General features: G+C 42.1%; 1 long non-coding RNA gene across 4 annotated transcripts in view, besides 1 other annotated feature; it reads left to right on the plus strand.

Moving 5' to 3' along the window:
* The window catches only part of LOC101928046 (uncharacterized), a 60,419-nt gene that overhangs the window by 36,085 nt on the left and 7,288 nt on the right, over positions 1–17,046 (plus strand). For 3 of the 4 annotated variants that reach the window (XR_007064236.1, XR_943988.2, XR_943989.1), the window contains one exon: positions 574–663. This is a non-coding gene — a long non-coding RNA (uncharacterized LOC101928046). Of the gene's footprint in view, positions 1–573; positions 664–1,598; positions 1,641–17,046 lie in introns of those variants that run through there. The other variant, XR_943990.2, reaches the window with a different exon arrangement.
* Positions 10,688–11,378: an enhancer, noted in NCBI's record as "OCT4-NANOG hESC enhancer chr14:70768308-70768998 (GRCh37/hg19 assembly coordinates)". NCBI's record gives its function as "activates a minimal SCP1, AML or CMV promoter by ChIP-STARR-seq in primed H9 embryonic stem cells {active_cell/tissue: H9 hESC(primed)}" and the evidence as "EXISTENCE:reporter gene assay evidence [ECO:0000049][PMID:30033119]".

The raw sequence follows: 17,046 nt of genomic DNA on the forward strand, positions 1-17,046 counted from the left end.
GTGTTTGATGAATGTCCTTTGAGTGAATGATGATGTAGATGATTTTAATAAAAGTGTTCTGTGCCAGTGCCTTGATCGAGATGGTGCTGTGAATGAGTTTTGAGGTATATTTTGCTTGTTGGAAGGCAGTTTCTTTCCTGTTTAGGAAAAAAAGCAACGGTAATGAGCCAAAAAAAAAAAAAGGTGAACTGAGGTGTTAAGCCCTCTGGCTCTGTGTTGCCCACTAGAGGAGCCTGTACTCTGCCAAGCAGGGCCTGTTTAACATCCTTGGAGTGGCTCTCTTGAAGTAGGCACACTTTCTAGGGCACAAAAATTGACAATCACTGCAAAAAAGCTTATTACATGTTGGGAAACATTTCTGGAATTTCTGCATGGGATTATTCAAAACAAGCCTCTCCATAGCTGACTCGCTAGCTGTTTGTTTGTTTTTAGTGAAAGAAAATTTGTTAGAAAAGTAAAGGGATAAAGAATGGCTACTCCATAGGCAGAGCAGCCCCTAGCTGGTTTTTAACTTTCCTTCTCCTGCTGCTTGTGACACATCTCCATATTTCATTTGTTTGTTTCCTTATCTAGATGTGAAATGTAAGATCATCTGAAGGAGAGCTTTGGTTCAAGTCAAATGCATGCCTCAACCTAGCAGAGCCAAAGAGATACTTGTATGATGTAAGTCAGATTATGTCATTCTTCTGCTCAAAACTCTCCAATAAATAGCTCACCATTCCCTTCAGAGAAAAGCCAAAGGACTTAAAATGGCCAACAAAGCCTATGATCTGCACCCCCCTCCTCCCTCTACCTCACTTCATCTTTCTCCCTGACTCACTTGGTTTCAGTCCTACTTGCCTGATATGTTCCCTCAATTACACTCCCATTTCAGGACATTTGCACTGACTGTTTCCTCTGCCTGGACCCCACTTGCTCCAGCTTTGCACATGGCTACCTCCCTTACTTTCTTCAGGTGCTTGCTAAAATACCGTCCTCTCAATGAGGCCTACCCTGAGCACCCTATTTAAAATTGTAACCTGCCGTTCCCTCCCCCTACAAGCTTTCAAATTTCGTCATCTTTTTTTAGTTTTTGCTATAACAATTAATCACTTTCTAATATACTAATTCTAATAAGAATTTACTTATTTATATATTTATTGCTTAACGTCTATATCTGTCTGTGAGAATATAAGGCCCATGAAGTCAGGGATCTTTTTCTGTTCTTAACATTGTTGTATTCCAAATGGGAGACTGTTGCTTGGCTCATGGTAATCACTCAGTTAATAGCTGTCACATTAATTAATCCTTGCCATCTCTTCTGTGCTGGAATTTGTCCATGATAGAAGCCTCCTGATCTGCCAGACCAGTGTTGTCCTAATATTTTATTCAGTCCAGAATCTGTAATGTTTTTATTGCCAATAAAGCATGTGAAAGGAAAATAAATCTTGGGTCCCCAAATCACTAAGCTAATACAACTCCTCTTTTTTGGAGTTTTACTTGCTTCCAACAAGGCAGGCAAGATTTCCTGTTTCCATGATGATGGAAGGCAGGTAATTCCTTTATGGAGTTTGAGCTCGCTTCCGACAGGGAAGATGAGGTTTTTTTCCTGCTTCTAGGATGGTAGAGAGCAGTCTACAGCCTGAGACCCATCCCTAGGTAAGTACCTGAATTAGGGTTTGTCTTGGTTAAATTTAAGACTAACAACCAGCTACTCTTAATTTCTCCTTACCATTAGAGCACTCAGTGATCTTATAAGTTGTGCCATCGTTTGTTTTGCTTAACTGTTTTTTTGTTGTTTTGGTCTTTTTCCCATTGGGTTTGATCAACTCTATCTGACTTTATCAAATCCAAAGGAAGTTCCAAATTATGGGGAACAAGGCCTCTGAAGTGGCTAAATTCCCATACACACAAAAAAAGGTGGTATGGTGGGGAGAAAAATGGCCAACCAAGGAAAACAAAAAGAGGAAAGGTTTTTTATTTTGACTACTACAGGAGCTTTATTTACATAACAAGGCCGCCTTTTTGCTAGCTAGGACAAACTGAAATGGATATTGCCCCGTACCGCAGTTTGATAGCTTAAGGTTCTGCCTTCTTTTTTTTCCCACCACGACAGCCTGGGTTTGGTTCCTAAATCAAACTTTTTCCGGTTTGATACTTGGTACTGCTGAAGTAGCAGCAATTTGTCCTAGCTGGAATATAGTAATGAGATTTTAAAAGATTTTTTTCAAAGGAGCTCAATGGTTAAAAGTCATCTTAATTAAAAGCTAATATCCAAGATTGTGTGTGTGTGTGTGTGTGTGTGTGTGTGTGTGCGCGTGTTTGTATTTAAAAGGCCTTCATGGGGTTATTTTTTGTCCTCCTAAGACCCTGTCTTATTTTTGAGCAAAAGTTTTTTCCTCTCAGTTGAATGGATTTTGTTTTCTTCATTAATAGCTATTGCAACAGAGGCTACTCTGGGGTTTTTAAGGAAGGGTGTAATTTAGACACTTAGAAATGTCTTTGTTAAAAAAAATTTTTTAAGTGTACTGTAAAAGCATCACATGGTCTAACCTCAAAATAATTCCTCTGCTCAGAGCTCAGAGATCCAGTTAAAAAATAGTTTCATGCACGTTCGTGTGAAGAGACCACCAGACAGGCTTTGTGTGAGCAAGATGGCTGTTTATTTCACCTGGGTACAGGCGGGCTGAGTCCAAAAAGAGTGTCAGTGAAGGGAGATAAGGGTGGGGCTGTTTTATAGGATTTGGGTAGATAAAGGAAAATTACAGTCAAAGGGGGGTTCTCTGGCAGGCAGACTGGGGGTCACAAGGTGCTCAGTAGGGGAGCTTTTGAGCCAGGATGAGCCAGGAGAAGGAATTTCACAAGACAATGTCATCAGTTAAGGCGGGGCAGGGCATTTTCACTTCTTTTGTGATTCTTCAGTTACTTCAGGCCATCTGGGCGAATACATGCAAGTCACAGGGGATGCGATGGCTTGGCTTGGGCTCAGAGGCCTGACATTCCTGCCTTCTTATATTAATAAGAAAAATGAAACAAAATAGTGTTGAAGTGTTGGGGCGGCGAAAATTTAGGGGGGTGGTATGGAGAGAGAGAATAAGCGATGTTTCTCAGGGCTGCTTCAAGTGGGATTAGGGGCAGCGTGGGAACCTAGAGTGGGAGAGATTAAGCTGAAGGGAGATCCTGTGGTAAGGGGTGATATTGTGGGGATGTTAGAAGAAACATTTGTCATATAGAATGATTGGTGATGGCCTGGATAGGGTTTTGGATGAACTGAGAAACTAAACGGAAGATACAAGTTCTGAATAAAAGAAGGAGAAAAATGGGTATCAAAGGACTAAGAATGGGAGGACCTAGGAAATCTAATTAGAGAGTGCCTAAGGGGGTTCAGCATAATTACTTGCTTGGTTGGCAAGTTTTTGGGCTTTATCTTTGAGTTTTTTTATGTTGTCATACACCAGGCCAGATTGATTTAGGTAAAAACAACACTCTTCATTTAAGAAAATACAGAGTCCTCCTTTTTCAGCAGTGAGTAAGTCAAGGCCTCGGCGGTTTTGGAGGACAACTGCAGCTAAAGAGTCAACTTGGGCCTGGAGAACTGATAAAGTTTGTGATATGTCTGTGATGCTAGCAGAGAAGTCATTAGACAGGCTACGGAAGGTTGTGACAGAGGTTGAAATGCCTGCTATTTCAGTACCGAGAGCAATAGTGGAGGCAGAAAGTCTTAAACTGACTATCAAGGGAATTAGTGGAATAACTCTTTTTTGTCATGTCGGTGTCATGAGGGGAACAGGGAGCTCTTCAGTCCTATTTGCAAATTGAATTTTGGGGGTAAGGAAAACTAGTGTGCATGTGCCTGTCTAATTAGCAGGTAGACACATGTAGGTAGAGGATCTACAGAGGAAGAAGAGACCTTGTGCGAGGCAAAACTGGAGATGTAAAGTAAAAAGGTGAGAAGGAGTGCTGAAAGGGGTGTCTTGTCCTAGACTCCTAGGGATCCAGCTAGGGCGGCAGCTGTCAGAGGTTGTAATGGGGACTGATGGGGTAACTGCGTAGAGGGGGAGGTTCGATTTTCATGGTGTATGAGAAAACATTGAGTATCTATGAGCAACTTTTCACTGTTATTTTCGGGGCTGGGTATAAGTAAACAAGAAGAGGGCCTGGGAGGAGAGTCTGACGAGCAAGGGGAAGGTAGCTAAGGGTGGAGTGAAATACAGGGTAAGTGTCTTCTTAAGTAATAATTACTGCTAACGTTTTTAAGTTTGTATGTATTGATAGAGGGTTTGTCTGTAATATGGAGCTGGAAGGCTCTAATTGTTTCAGTGATGTGTGTAGTTGGGCTTCGGATATGAAGAGTAAAGGAACATCGAGAAGGTGAAAGATTACCTAGGGGAATTCTAGTGGGTCTTTGCTGAGAGATACTCAAAGGAGCGGCCACAGGAATAGTAGTTTGTGTTGTGAGAGGTCTAAATATGGGGGGAGTAGAGTTAATATAAGGAGAAAGGTTTTTTAAATAAGTGCGGAGGAGGGCGGCAGCTTGCTGATCTGAAATGTCTGGGGAAGTCTTGCTGGACTTGTCTAGAAAGTAAATGAGTTCTTCAGGAGGGTAAAGGTGAGGGCTTTAAAGGAAGTTCGGAGGTGTAAGGAGACAGGAGATGTTGCCTAGTCTGTCTGTAAGGCGGGGACAGCTGTGTAGGCACTGGAAGAAAGGGAAATGCAAAGCTAGCAGTTGTTCGCTAAGGAGGGATTAGAAGCGGCTAGGAGAGAATGGGTAAGGTTGATAGTGTGGTGGAGATAGCTGGGGAGAGGTAAAGGGTGGCATAATAATGGGAATGAGAATAAGAGTGAGTATAAAAGTAAAGAATAGAACTTCATCAAGGTGGAAGTATTGGAGGGTGCCCTGCCAGCAAAGATCATCTACCTACTTTAAGAGGGAATTAAGAGTGGCGGTTTGGGGATAGCATCAAGAGATATCAGCTGTGATGGCTTGAAGAAACAGTGTAAACTGGCAGTGTAAACAAGAGTAGGGCATTTTTAAGTAGTTGAGAACGGAGAATAGGAGTATGACTAGATAGAAAATAGTAGGGATGACAGGTTTTTTTGGGGCTCGGCCTAAGTGGTGGGGGTGACTTCGTAAAGCCTTGTTGCAAAAAGTAGGGTAAGGACGAACAGACCTAATAGAATGAAGGGATGTATTAGGCTCATAAGGGTTATTACTGTTCTTCAGAAATACGAGTGAGTTTAAGGGAAGTAGGGGAGAGTACTTGCGACTTCCAGGAGGAAGAGGAGGGATTAAGCTGGCTGTCCAATGGACACAGCTTTATTCTGGAATGGTGAACTTAGTGGGGAGGATCCTGCAGGCGGACGGCAGTCGGGGTACTATAGATGACTAAGTAGGGTCCGGTCCATCAAGGTTGTAGAGTCTGAGGGGTCAGATTCTTAAGAACTGATCATCTAGCTAGGGTGTCTTCATATGGCTGGGGATCTGGAGTAGGCAAGAGAAGATTAGCAGCCTGGCGAATTTCCTGTCTAGCCTGTTGGAGGACTGGAAGATAGTCGCCTAGAGGGCTGGTGTCTGGGATGAGGTTGGGGCCAAGCAAGAAAGTGCATCCATATAAAAGTTCAAATGGACTGTACCTTGTAGCATCTCGAGGACAGGCTCTAATTCTGAGAAGGGCAAGAGGTAAAAGTCTTGCCCAAACTGTCTAATCTTTAATTTGGAGGCTGAGCTTGGTGAGGTGTGTCTTTAAAAGACTATTAGTCCGTTCTACCTTTCCTGAAGATTGAGGATGGTAAGGGATATGAAGGTTCCACTGAATGCTAAGAGCCTGAGAAACTGCTTGGGTGATTTGGCTAGTAAAGGCTGGTCTGTTTTGAGACTGTATAGAGGTAGGAAGGCCTAACCGAGGAACTATGTTTGACAGAAGGGAAGAAATGACTGCGGTGGCCTTCTCAGACCCTGTAGGAAAGGCCTCTACTTATCCAGTGAAAGTGTCTATCTAGACTAAGAGGTATTTTAATTATCTGACTCGGGGCATGTTGAGTAAAGCTATTTGCCAGTCCTGGGTGGGGGCAAATCCTCAAGCTGGATGTGTAGGGAAGGGAGGGCGCGTGAATAATCCCTGAGAAGTAGTAGAATAGCAGATGGAACACTGAGAAGTTATTTCCTTGAGGATAGATTTCCACGATGGAAAGGAAATGAGAGGTTTTAAGAGGCCGGCTAGTGGCTTGTACTGTAGCATAGCCTGCCTTTGCTGGTGTGTGGCGATTAGGCCTGGTGGAACTGCCATCAATAAACCAAGTGTGATCAGGGTGAGAAACAGGGAAGAAGGAAATGTGGGAAATGGGGTGAACGTCAGGTGGATCAGAGAGATGCAGTCATGGGGGTCAGGTGTGGTATCCGGAATAATGTGGGAGGCCAGATTGAAGTCCGGGCCAGGAACAATGGTAATTGTGGGAGACTCAACAAAGAGTGAGTACAGCTGAAGGAGCTGGGGAGCAGAAAGTATATGCGTCAGGTGTGAGGAAGAAAATAGATTTTGGAAATTATGAGAGCTGTAGAGAGTGAGTTGAGCATAGTTTGTGATTTTAAGGGCCTCTAAAAGTATTAGGGCGGCAGCAGCCACTGCACGGAGACATAATGGCCAGCTTAAAACAGTAAGGTCAAGTTGTTTGGACAAAAAGGCTACAGGACGCAATCCTGGTCCTTGTGTAAGAATTGTGACTGCACAGCCCTGCACTTCAGCTGTGTGTAATGAAGAGGGTTGGGATGAGTCAGGGAGAGCTAGAGTTGGGGCAGTCTCTAAAGCTGTCTTCAAGGAACGGAAAGATGAGTGGGGAAAGGATTTAGGATCTATGGGGTCAGCTAGGTTTCTTTTTGTGAGTTTATATAATGGTCTTGTTAGGATGGCAAAACTAGGTATCTAAAGGTGAAAGTATCTAACTATGCCGAGGAAGAAAGGAGTTGTTGTTTTGTAGAAGGGGTTGGGGTTTGAGAGATTAGTCGGACACAATCAGCAGGGAGAGCACTTGTGTTTTTATGAAGAATTATGCCGAGGTAGGTAACGGATGGAGAAGAAATTTGAGCTTTGGAGGGGGATACGTATCCTGATATCCTTTGGAGAATAAATGCTGAAGGAGCAGAAGTGTGTCTTGTTGAGAAGATTCAAAGGGGCTACAAAGAAGAAGGTCATCAATATATTGAATAAGGTGAGAAGTGGAGGGGTGGAAAGAAAGTAAATCATGAGAAAGAGCTTGGCTGAAGTAATGAAGGCTGTCCTTGAAACCTTGCGGCAGCACAGCCTAGGTAAGCTGCTGGGACTGATGGGTGTCAGGGTCAGTCCAGGTGAAAGCAAAGAGAGGCTGGGATGAGGGGTGCAGGGGAATAGTGAAAAAAGCATCTTTAAGATTAAGAACTGAATAGTGAGTTGTGGAGGAAGGTATTGAGGACAAAAGAGTTTACGGGTTGGGCACCACAGGGTGGATAGGCAAAACAATTTGGTTGATAAGGCGCAGATCCTGAACTAATCTGTAAGACTTGTCCAGTTTTTGGACAGGTAAAATGGGGGAATTGTAAGGAGAGTTTATAGGTTTTAGAAGCCCATGCTGTAGCAGGTGAGTGATAACAGGCTTTAATCCTTTTAAAGCGTGCTGTGGGATGGGATACTGGCGTTGAGCGGGGTAAGGGTGATTAGGTTTTAATGGGATGGTAATGGGCATGTGATCGGTTGCCAGGGAAGGAGTAGAGATGTCTTATACTTGTGGGTTAAGGTGGGGGGATACGAGAGGAAGATGCGAAGGAGGGTTTGGATTGGGGAGAAGGGTGGCAATGAGATGTGGCTGTAGTCCAGGAATAGTCAGGGAAGCAGATAATTTGGTTAAAATATCTTGGCCTAATAAGGGAACTGGGCAGGTGGGGATAACTAAAAAAGAGTGCATGAAAGAGTGTTGTCCAAGTTGGCACTAGAGTGGGGGAGTTTTCAGGGGTTTTGAAGCTTGGCCATCAATACTTACAACAGTTATCGGGGCAAGGGAAACAGGCCTTTGAAAAGAAGGCAACATGGTGTGGGTAGCCTTCATATCGATTAGACAGGGGATGGACTTACCTTCTACTGTGAGAGTTACCTGAAGCTCGGCATCCGTGATGGTCTAGGGGGCTTCCGAGGCGATCGGGCAGCGTCAATCTTCAGTCGCTAAGCCAAGCAGATCTGGGAAGGAGTCAGTAAGAGAGCCTTGGGCTAGAGCTTTAGGGGCTCTAGGAGTGGCTGCCGGGCGAGCTGGGCAGTCTCTCTTCTAGTGGGTCCCTGCACAGATGGGACATGGCTTGGGAGGAATCCTGGGCTGCGGGCATTCTTTGGCCTAGTGGCCAGATTTCTGGCACTTGAAGCAAGATCCTGATGGAGGAAGTCTTGTAGGAATGCTTGACTGCTGTGGCTTAGGCATGTGCGGCTTAGGCATTTTGAAGTTCTTGTATGCTGGAGGTGTGGCTGGGTTTTGTCTCACAGCAGAGGCAAGTAATTGTAACTCAGAAATGCGTTGCCGTCTGGCTGCTTCCTCTCTATTATTGTACACTTTGAAGGCGAGGTTGATTAATTCCTGTTGTGGGGTTTGAGGGCCAGATTCTAATTTCTGAAGTTTTTTCCTAATGTCAGGAGCTGACTGGGTGATAAAATGCATATTGAGAATAAGGCGGCCTTCTGGCTTTTCTGGGTCTAGGGCAGTAAAGCGTCTAAGGGTTGCTGCCAAGCTGGCCATGAACTGGGCTGGGTTTTCGTCTTTACCTTGGGTAGTTTCTTTAAGCTTGTTATAATTAACAGCTTTGTAAGCTGCCTTTTTAAGCCCTTCAACTAGGCAGGAAATCATGTAATCTTGCCTAGCTATACCTGGGGAATTTGCCTGATAGTTCTATTGGGGATCCTCTTGGGGGACTGCTCTAATGCCTTCCTGGAGGTCTGGCTCGTGAAGCTGGTGGTTATTAGCGTGAGATTGGGCTAGAGAAAAAACTCTTTCCCTTTCATCTAGGGGGAGGGTAGAAGTCAGGATGACATTTAAGTCACTCCAGGTTAAACTGTAGGACAGAGAGATATTGGAATTGCCGTATATATTTAGTGGGGTCTGATGAGAAAGAGCCTAAACGCTGACTGATCTGAGAGAGGTCTGATAGAGAAAAAGGTACATGTACCTTGACTATGCCTTCAGCTCCCGCCACCTCTCTAAGAGGAAATTGTTGGGCAGGTGGGGAAGAACTAGTCGCAAACTAAACTGTAAGCCGGACCGGGTGTGAGGAGGGGAGGTGATAGAAGGATTATAGGGTGGAGGAGCAGAGGCTGAGGAAGAATTAGGACTTAGCTTGGCCTGGTGACGAGCAGCCTGGGGAGGAGGGGAAAGGTCAGATGGGTCTGTAGAAAAAGGAAGACTGGAAAGACTCAGTGACGCTGGGTTTGGGACTGAGGGGACAGGCGGGAGGGAAAGAAGGAGGATTTGGGAGGAATCGCATTGGGAACAGAGACTAGGGAGGGAACGAAGTGTGAAAAATGCCTGGACATAAGGCACCTCAGACCATTTGCCTATTTTTCAACAAAAATTATTTAGGTCTTGTAGGGTGGAGAAATCGAAAGTGCTGTTTTCTGGCCATTTAGAGCCATTGCCAAGTTTGTATTGGGGCCAAGCAGTGTTGCAGAAGAAAATAAGGGGTTTAGGTTTTAGGTCAGGTGTGAGTTGAAGAGGTTTTGAGTTCTTGAGAACACAGGCTAAGGGAGAAGAAGGAGGAATGGAGGGTGGAAGGTTGTCCATAGTGAAGGAGGCAAGCCTAGAGAAAAGAGAGAGTAGAGACAAGGAGGGAAGGGGTTCGGGGGTTCTTACCCTCCAGAAAAGCGGGAAAGGGGTTGGGGTGCATAAATAAGGGATTGGGGCACAGAGATAAGAGGATGGGGCGTGGAAATAAGGGATTGGGGCACAGAGATAAGAGGTCAGGGCACAGAAATAAGGGATTGGGTGCAGAGATAAGAGGTCAGGGCATGGAAATAAGGGAACGGGGCACAGAGATACAAGGTTGGGGTACTTGCCCTTCCTCCAGAAAAGCGGGACTTGCTAAGGGTGAAGGAGAAGGGGTTGGGGGTTTCTTGCCCCCCCAGAACGGCGGAGAAGGGGTAGAGACACAGAGAGAAGGGGTTGGGGTACTTGCCCCTCCCCCAGAAAAGCAGGACTTGCCGCTAAGGGTGAAGGACCAAGGCAGGCGTCCCTGCGTGGTCTGACACCTCTGAAACGTGGGTGAATAATCAGAGGCGTCCCTGCAATGATTAAACACCAAGGGAAGGCTGCCTTCCCAGTCCGTGACTGGCGCCGGAGTTTTGGGTCCACGGATAAAACGTGTCTCCTTTGTCTCTACCAGAAAATGAAAGGAATTGAAATTAAAAGAAGGGAGAGATTGAAGTGTGGTGTCAAGATTGAAAGGAGAAAGATTGAGGGATAGTGAGGGAGGTTGGAGAAGAGAGTAAAAAGAGGCCACTTACTGGATTTGAAATTGGTGAGATGTTTCTTGGGCTGGTTGGTCTGAGGACCTGAGGTCGTAGGTGGATCTTTCTCACGGAGCAAAGAGCAGGAGGACAGGGGATTGATCTCTCAAGGGAGGTCTCCCGATCCGAGTCATGGCACTGAATTTCATGTGCGTCCATGTGAAGAGACCACCAAACAGTCTTTGTGTGAGCAACATGGCTATTTCACCTGGGTGCAGGCGGGCTGAGTCCAAAAAGAGTCAGTGAAGGGAGATAAGGGTGGGGCCATTTTATAGGATTTGGGTAGATAAAGGAAAATTACAGTGAAAGGGGGGTTGTTCTCTGGCGGGCAGAGTGGGGGTCACAAGGTGCTCAGTAGGGGAGCTTTTGAGCCAGGATGAGCCAGGAGAAGGAATTTTGCAAGACAATGTCATCAGTTAAGGCAGGGCAGGGCATTTTCACTTTTTTATGATTCTTCAGTTACTTCAAGCCATCTAGGCATATACATGCAAGTCACAGAAGATGCGATGGCTTGGCTTAGGCTCAGAGGCCTGACAGATAGTTCCTGTCTAAATAAAATTGGTCTCCTTATACAATCCTACGATAGATTTCTATGTTATGTTTGATTTGGCATCATCTTTAATGTTCCTCTAGCACCACTAGCCTTTTTCTTTCTGTACCTTATGATGTAAATTTTGCTATTTGATTTTCACCTGAGTTGTTTCCTTTAATATGCACATTTAAGGCTTTTTATCTGACAACTGCCTTGAGTTGTGAAACAGGTTATCAAGAATCTGAAAGTCTAAGATGAGGGGGAAAAAGGTCTTTGTTAATCTATAAGATATTCTTCTATCAGCAAGCCTAATACATCTATGTATTTATGTGTTGTGTACACAACATTTCACTACTGAAAATATATGAGAGGTCTAATTAATTGGCTAAATAAAAATAAAAGCACTTAAATCAAATACTTTATCAGAAAAAGGAAAGACTAGTCAAATGCTTTTTCAAGTTTATGAGACTTAAAATCATTAATAAATAAACTAGCTTTAAAATTATTGGTAAAGTAGTATTAGAAATGTCTTAAGAATTGCCAGCATACATTTTTATTTGCATTTATTAATCAAGCAATTTCATACTTATCCCTACCAAATACTATGAGGTGTCAGAATTTGGCACAGGGGTTACAAAACTATAAACCTAGCCTAATACAGAATAATCTTTGCTTGTGTGATCTTTAATAAATAAGACATTGATATTGGTTTAATGGAAATAACTACATCTTGAATTATTTAGTAAAACTAACATAACTTCTAATCTTGTGGCTTTAGGCAGCATAGTCCACAGGCAGTAAGGAGATTTGTTTTGGGAAAGGACTGTTACCATCTTTGTTTCAAAGCTAAACTATAAGTTCCTCCCAAAGTCCAGAAATGAATAAGGACAAGCTTGGAGGTTAGAAGCAAGATGGAGTAAGTTAGGTCATATATTTTTCACTGCCTCAGTTAGAATTTTGTAATGGTGAGTTTCATAACTTTAAATGATGACTATCGTAGTTTTCATAAATAATCTAGGTAAATGAATAAAATAAAATAATTAGGTAAATATAATGGGATAAATACTTGTAGACAAATGTCATAATTTAGAATCTAAAGTTAAATTAAATGATATTTCATTATTTGGGTATTTTCTGATAAAAATATATTGTAGGAAAACATTCTTTCTAAAAAAAAGTGTCCTTTTTAAAAAGGTGAACAATTTTCGTCTAATTAAAAGCTTATTTAAAGGTTATGTATAAAACAAGTTTAAAGGAACCAGGAAATAGGGGAAATGTAAAGAACGGTATGAGATAAAGAGGCATTTTTTGGTAAGAAAGCTTAAAAAGAAATAATTTTACATGAGAAAGCATTGAAGCCATTTTGTAAAAATCATAACTGAGAAAATTATGACAATGAAAGATATCAGACCTAACTGACCCCATCTTGCTTCTAACCTCTAAACTGTCCTTGTTCATTCCTGGGCATAGGCCAAACTAGCTTTGGGAAGGGATTTAGTGTATAGTTTATATAATAGCCCTCCCCAAAAGGCTAAACTGTTCTTATAAAACAAATGAAAGGCCACCAGCCACCAAGTCAAGATGAGAGGGGCTGGAATTCTAAATATTACCCGCCATTATTCCACAGGTCATTAGATTTACAACTTCCCCAATTACTCTTGAAGGTAACGTCACTATTGTGAACCTAAGATCGTCCTTTTGAGATGTCTTTTCAGGTTTTTGCATTTTTAACAACCAGATGGCCCCACCTGGATCTGCCAACCAGTTCTGTGGCTCCCACCCAGGAACTGACTCAGCAGATGAGAACAGCCTGGACTCCCTATGATTTCATCCCCAAGCCAACCAATCAGCACTCCCAATTCACTGTCCCCATCCCCCACCCACCAAATTAATTTTAAAAACACAAATACCAGAGTTGTCAGGGAGACTGATTTGAGTAATAATAACATTCTGGTCTCCTGCACAGCCAGCTCTGCATTAATTACTCTTTATTACAATTGCCCTGTCTTGATAAATTGACTCTGTCTAGGCAGCAGATAAAGCGAACCCCTTGGGCAGTTACAGAATCTTGTACGGTAAATTTAGACCTAGAATAAAATGACTGGTTGTTTAAGAAAGAGGAATGTTCAGGACAAACCAGAAAGTCCAAACATATCATTAATGGTCTGTGTAAGTCACAATAAAAGGTTTTATTAAAAAAAACATTTATATGATCAAGTTATCTATAATTAAAGGGAAATTATAATGGTCTTTCTAGAGAATGGGCTTGATGTAAAAAAAAAACACTTGTACACTAAAGAATTGATTAGAACAATAAAATTCCCTAAAGGGATTGATTTACTCTTAATAAATTATAAGAGATTTTAATTTTTTAACCCAAAGTTTAATGTTTAGTGCATCTCACTGTTTCTGGTTTTCTCTCCCCTTTTAAAAGGCATGAAATAATAACAATCTCCTTCAACTCATTTTCAGCTCATATTTTTTTTTCTTCAAGATCTGTTTGTTGTAGCCTGATGCTAACAATACTTTCTTAAAGATGTAAAGGAAATGTTTTCTTACAAAATAATATTATGTACATTGCAGAAGGTCTTTTTCCTTTTGGTAACTGACCTAACAAATTTTACATTTTATTAAAATAATTTCTATATCATTATTATTAAAGTTTTGCTTTGCTTAGGAAAAAACTGAGATTAATTTTTTTTTTTAATTGAGGTTCTTACATCCATGTATCTTTCTGTATGTGATTTAAAAGTACTTGTGACATTAAGTTACAGGGCTTTGACACTTGGGTCTAAAAAGGACACCAAGTCTTGCTAAATCTTTTTTTTTTTGCCCTTTTTAAAATTATTATCCTTTAAGTTCTAGGGTACATGTGCACAACATTCAGGTTTGTTACATATGTATACATGTGCCAAGTTGGTGTGCTGCACCCATTAACTCGTCATTTACATTATTTCTCTTAATGCTATCCTTCCCCCATCCCCTGACTGTACAACAGGCCCCGGTTTGTGGTGTTCCCCACCCTGTGTCCAAGTGTTCTCATTGTTCAGTTCCCACCTATGAGTGAGAACATGCAGTGTTTGGTTTTCTGTCCTTCCAAGAGTTTGCTCAGAATGATGGTTTCCAGCTTCATCTATCTCCCTACAAAGGACATGAACTCATCCTTTTTTATGGCTTCATAGTATTCCATGTTGTATATGTGCCACATTTTCTTAACCCAGTCTATCACTGATGGACATGTGGGTTGGTTCCAAGTATTTGCTATTGTGAATAGTGCCGCAATAAACATACGTGTGCATGTGTCTTTATAGTAGCATGATTTATAATCCTTTGGGTATATACCCAGTAATGGGATGGCTGGGTCAAATAGTATTTCTAGTTCTAGATCCTTGAGGAATTGCCACACTGTCTTCCACAATGGTTGAACTAGTTTACAGTCCCACCAACAGTGTAAAAGTGTTCCTATTTCTCCACATCCTCACCAGAACCTGTTGTTTTCCTGACTTTTTAATGATCACCATTCTAACTGGTGTGAGATGGTATCTCATTGTGGTTTTGATTTGCATTTCTCTGATGGCCAGTGATGATGAGCATTTTTTCATGTGTCTGTTGGCTGCATAAATGTCTTCTTTTGAGAAGTGTCTGTTCATATCCTTTGCCCACTTTTTGATGGGGTTGTTTGATTTTTTCTTGTAAATTTGTTTAAGTTCTTTGTAGATTCTGGATGCTAGCCTTTTTTCAGATGGGTAGATTGTAAAAAATTTTCTCCTGTTCTGTAGGTTGCCTGTTCACTCTGATGGTAGTTTCTTTTGCTGTGCAGCAGCTGTTTAGTTTAATTAGATCCCATTTGCCAATTTTGGCTTTTATTGCCATTGCTTTTGGTATTTTAGTCATGAAGTCCTTGCCCATGCCTATGTCCTGAATGGTATTGCCTAGGTTTTCTTCTAGGGTTTTTATGGTTTTAGGCCTAACATTTAAGTATTTAATCCATCTTTAATTAATTTTGGTTTAAGGTGTAAGGAAGGGATCCAGTTTCAGCTTTCTACATATGGCTAGCCAGTTTTCCCAGCACCATTTATTAAATAGGGAATCCTTTCCCCATTTCTTGTTTTTGTCAGGTTTGTCAAAGATCAGATGGTTGTAGATATGTGGTATTATTTCTGAGGGCTCTGTTCTGTTCCATTGGTCTATATCTCTGTTTTGGTACCAGTACCATGCTGTTTTAGTTACTGTAGCCTTGTAGTATAGTTTGAAGTCAGGTGGCATGATGCCTCCAGCCTTGTTCTTCTGGCTTATGATTTCCTTGGCAATGTGGGCTCTTTTTTGGTTCCATATGAACTTTAAAGTAGTTTTTTTCAATTCTGTGAAAAAAGTCATTGGTAGCTTGATGGGGATGGCATTGAATCTATAAATTATCTTGGGCAGCATGGCCATTTTCATGATACTGACTCTTCCTATCTGTGAGCATGGAATGTTCTTCTATTTGTTTGTGTCCTCTTTTATTTTGTTGAGCAGTGGTTTGTAGTTCTCCTTGAAGAGGTCCTTCACGTCCCTTGTAAGTTGGATTCCTAGGTATTCTCTTTGAAGTAATAGTGAATGGGAGTTCACTCATGATTTGGCTCTCTGTTTGTCTCTTATTGGTGTATAGGAATGCTTGTGATTTTTTCACATTGATTTTGTATCCTGAGACTTTGCTAAAGTTACTTATCAGCTTAAGGAGATTTTGGGCTAAGACGATGGGGTTTTCTAAATATACAATCATGTCATCTGCAATCAGGGACAATTTGATTTCCTCTTTTCCTAACTGAATACCCTTTATTTCTTTCTCCTGCCTGATTGCCCTGGTCAGAACTTCCAACACTATGTTGAATAGGAGTGGTGAGAGAGGGCATCCCTGTCTTGTGCCAGTTTTCAAAGGGAATGCTTCCAGTTTTTGCCCATTCAGTATGATATTGGCTGTGGGTTTGTCATAAATAGCTCTTATTATTTTGAGATACGTCCCATCAATACCTAGTTTATTGAGAGTTTTTAGCATGAAGGGCTGTTGAATGCTTTTTCTGCATCTATTGAGATAATCATGTGGGGCTTTTTTTTGGTTTTTGTTTTTGAGACAGAGTCTCGCTTTGTTGCCCAGGCTGGAGTGCAGTGGCGCGATCTTGGCTCACTGCAAGCTCCGCCTCCCAGGTTCACGCCATTCTCCTGCCTCAGCCTCCCGAGTAGCTGCAACTACAGGCACCCACCACCACACCCAGCTAATTTTTTGTATTTTTAGTAGAGATGGGGTTTCACCATGTTAGCCAGGATGGTCTCAATCTCCTGACCTCGTGATCTGCCCACCTTGGCCTCCCAAAGTGTTGGGACTACAGGTGTGAGCCACCGCTCCCAGCCCCAATCATGTGGTTTTTGTCTTTGGTTCTGTTTATATAATGGATTACGTTTATTGATTTGCATATGTTAAACCAGCCATGCATCCCAGGGATGAAGCCAACTTGATCATGATGGATAAGCTTTTTGATGTGCTGCTGGATTCAGTTTGCTAGTATTTTATTGAGCATTTTCACTTCAATGTTCATCAGGGATATTGGTCTATAATTCTCTTTTTTTGTTGTGTCTCTGCCAGGCTATGGTATCAGGATGATGCTGGCCTCATAAAATGAGTTAGGGAGAATTCCCTTGTTTTCTATTGATTGGAATAGTTTCAGAAGGAATGGTACCAGCTCCTCTTTGTACCTCTGGTAGAATTCGGCTGTGAATCCATCTGGTCCTGGACTTTTTTTGGTTGGTAGGCTATTAATTATTACCTCAATTTCAGAGCCTGTTATTGATCTATTCAGGGATTCAACTTCTTCCTGGTTTAGTCTTGGGAGGGTGTATGTGTCCAGGAAGGTAGATTTTCTAGTTTATTTGCACAGAGGTGTTTATAGTATTCTCTGATGGTCATTTGTATTTCTGTGGGATTGGTGGTGACATCCCCTTTATCATTTTTTATTGAGTCTATTTGATTCTTCTCTCTTTTCTTCTGTA

The sequence above is a fragment of the Homo sapiens genome, chromosome 14, assembly GCF_000001405.40.
Source record: "Homo sapiens chromosome 14, GRCh38.p14 Primary Assembly".
NCBI classification, from domain to species: Eukaryota; Metazoa; Chordata; class Mammalia; order Primates; family Hominidae; genus Homo; species Homo sapiens.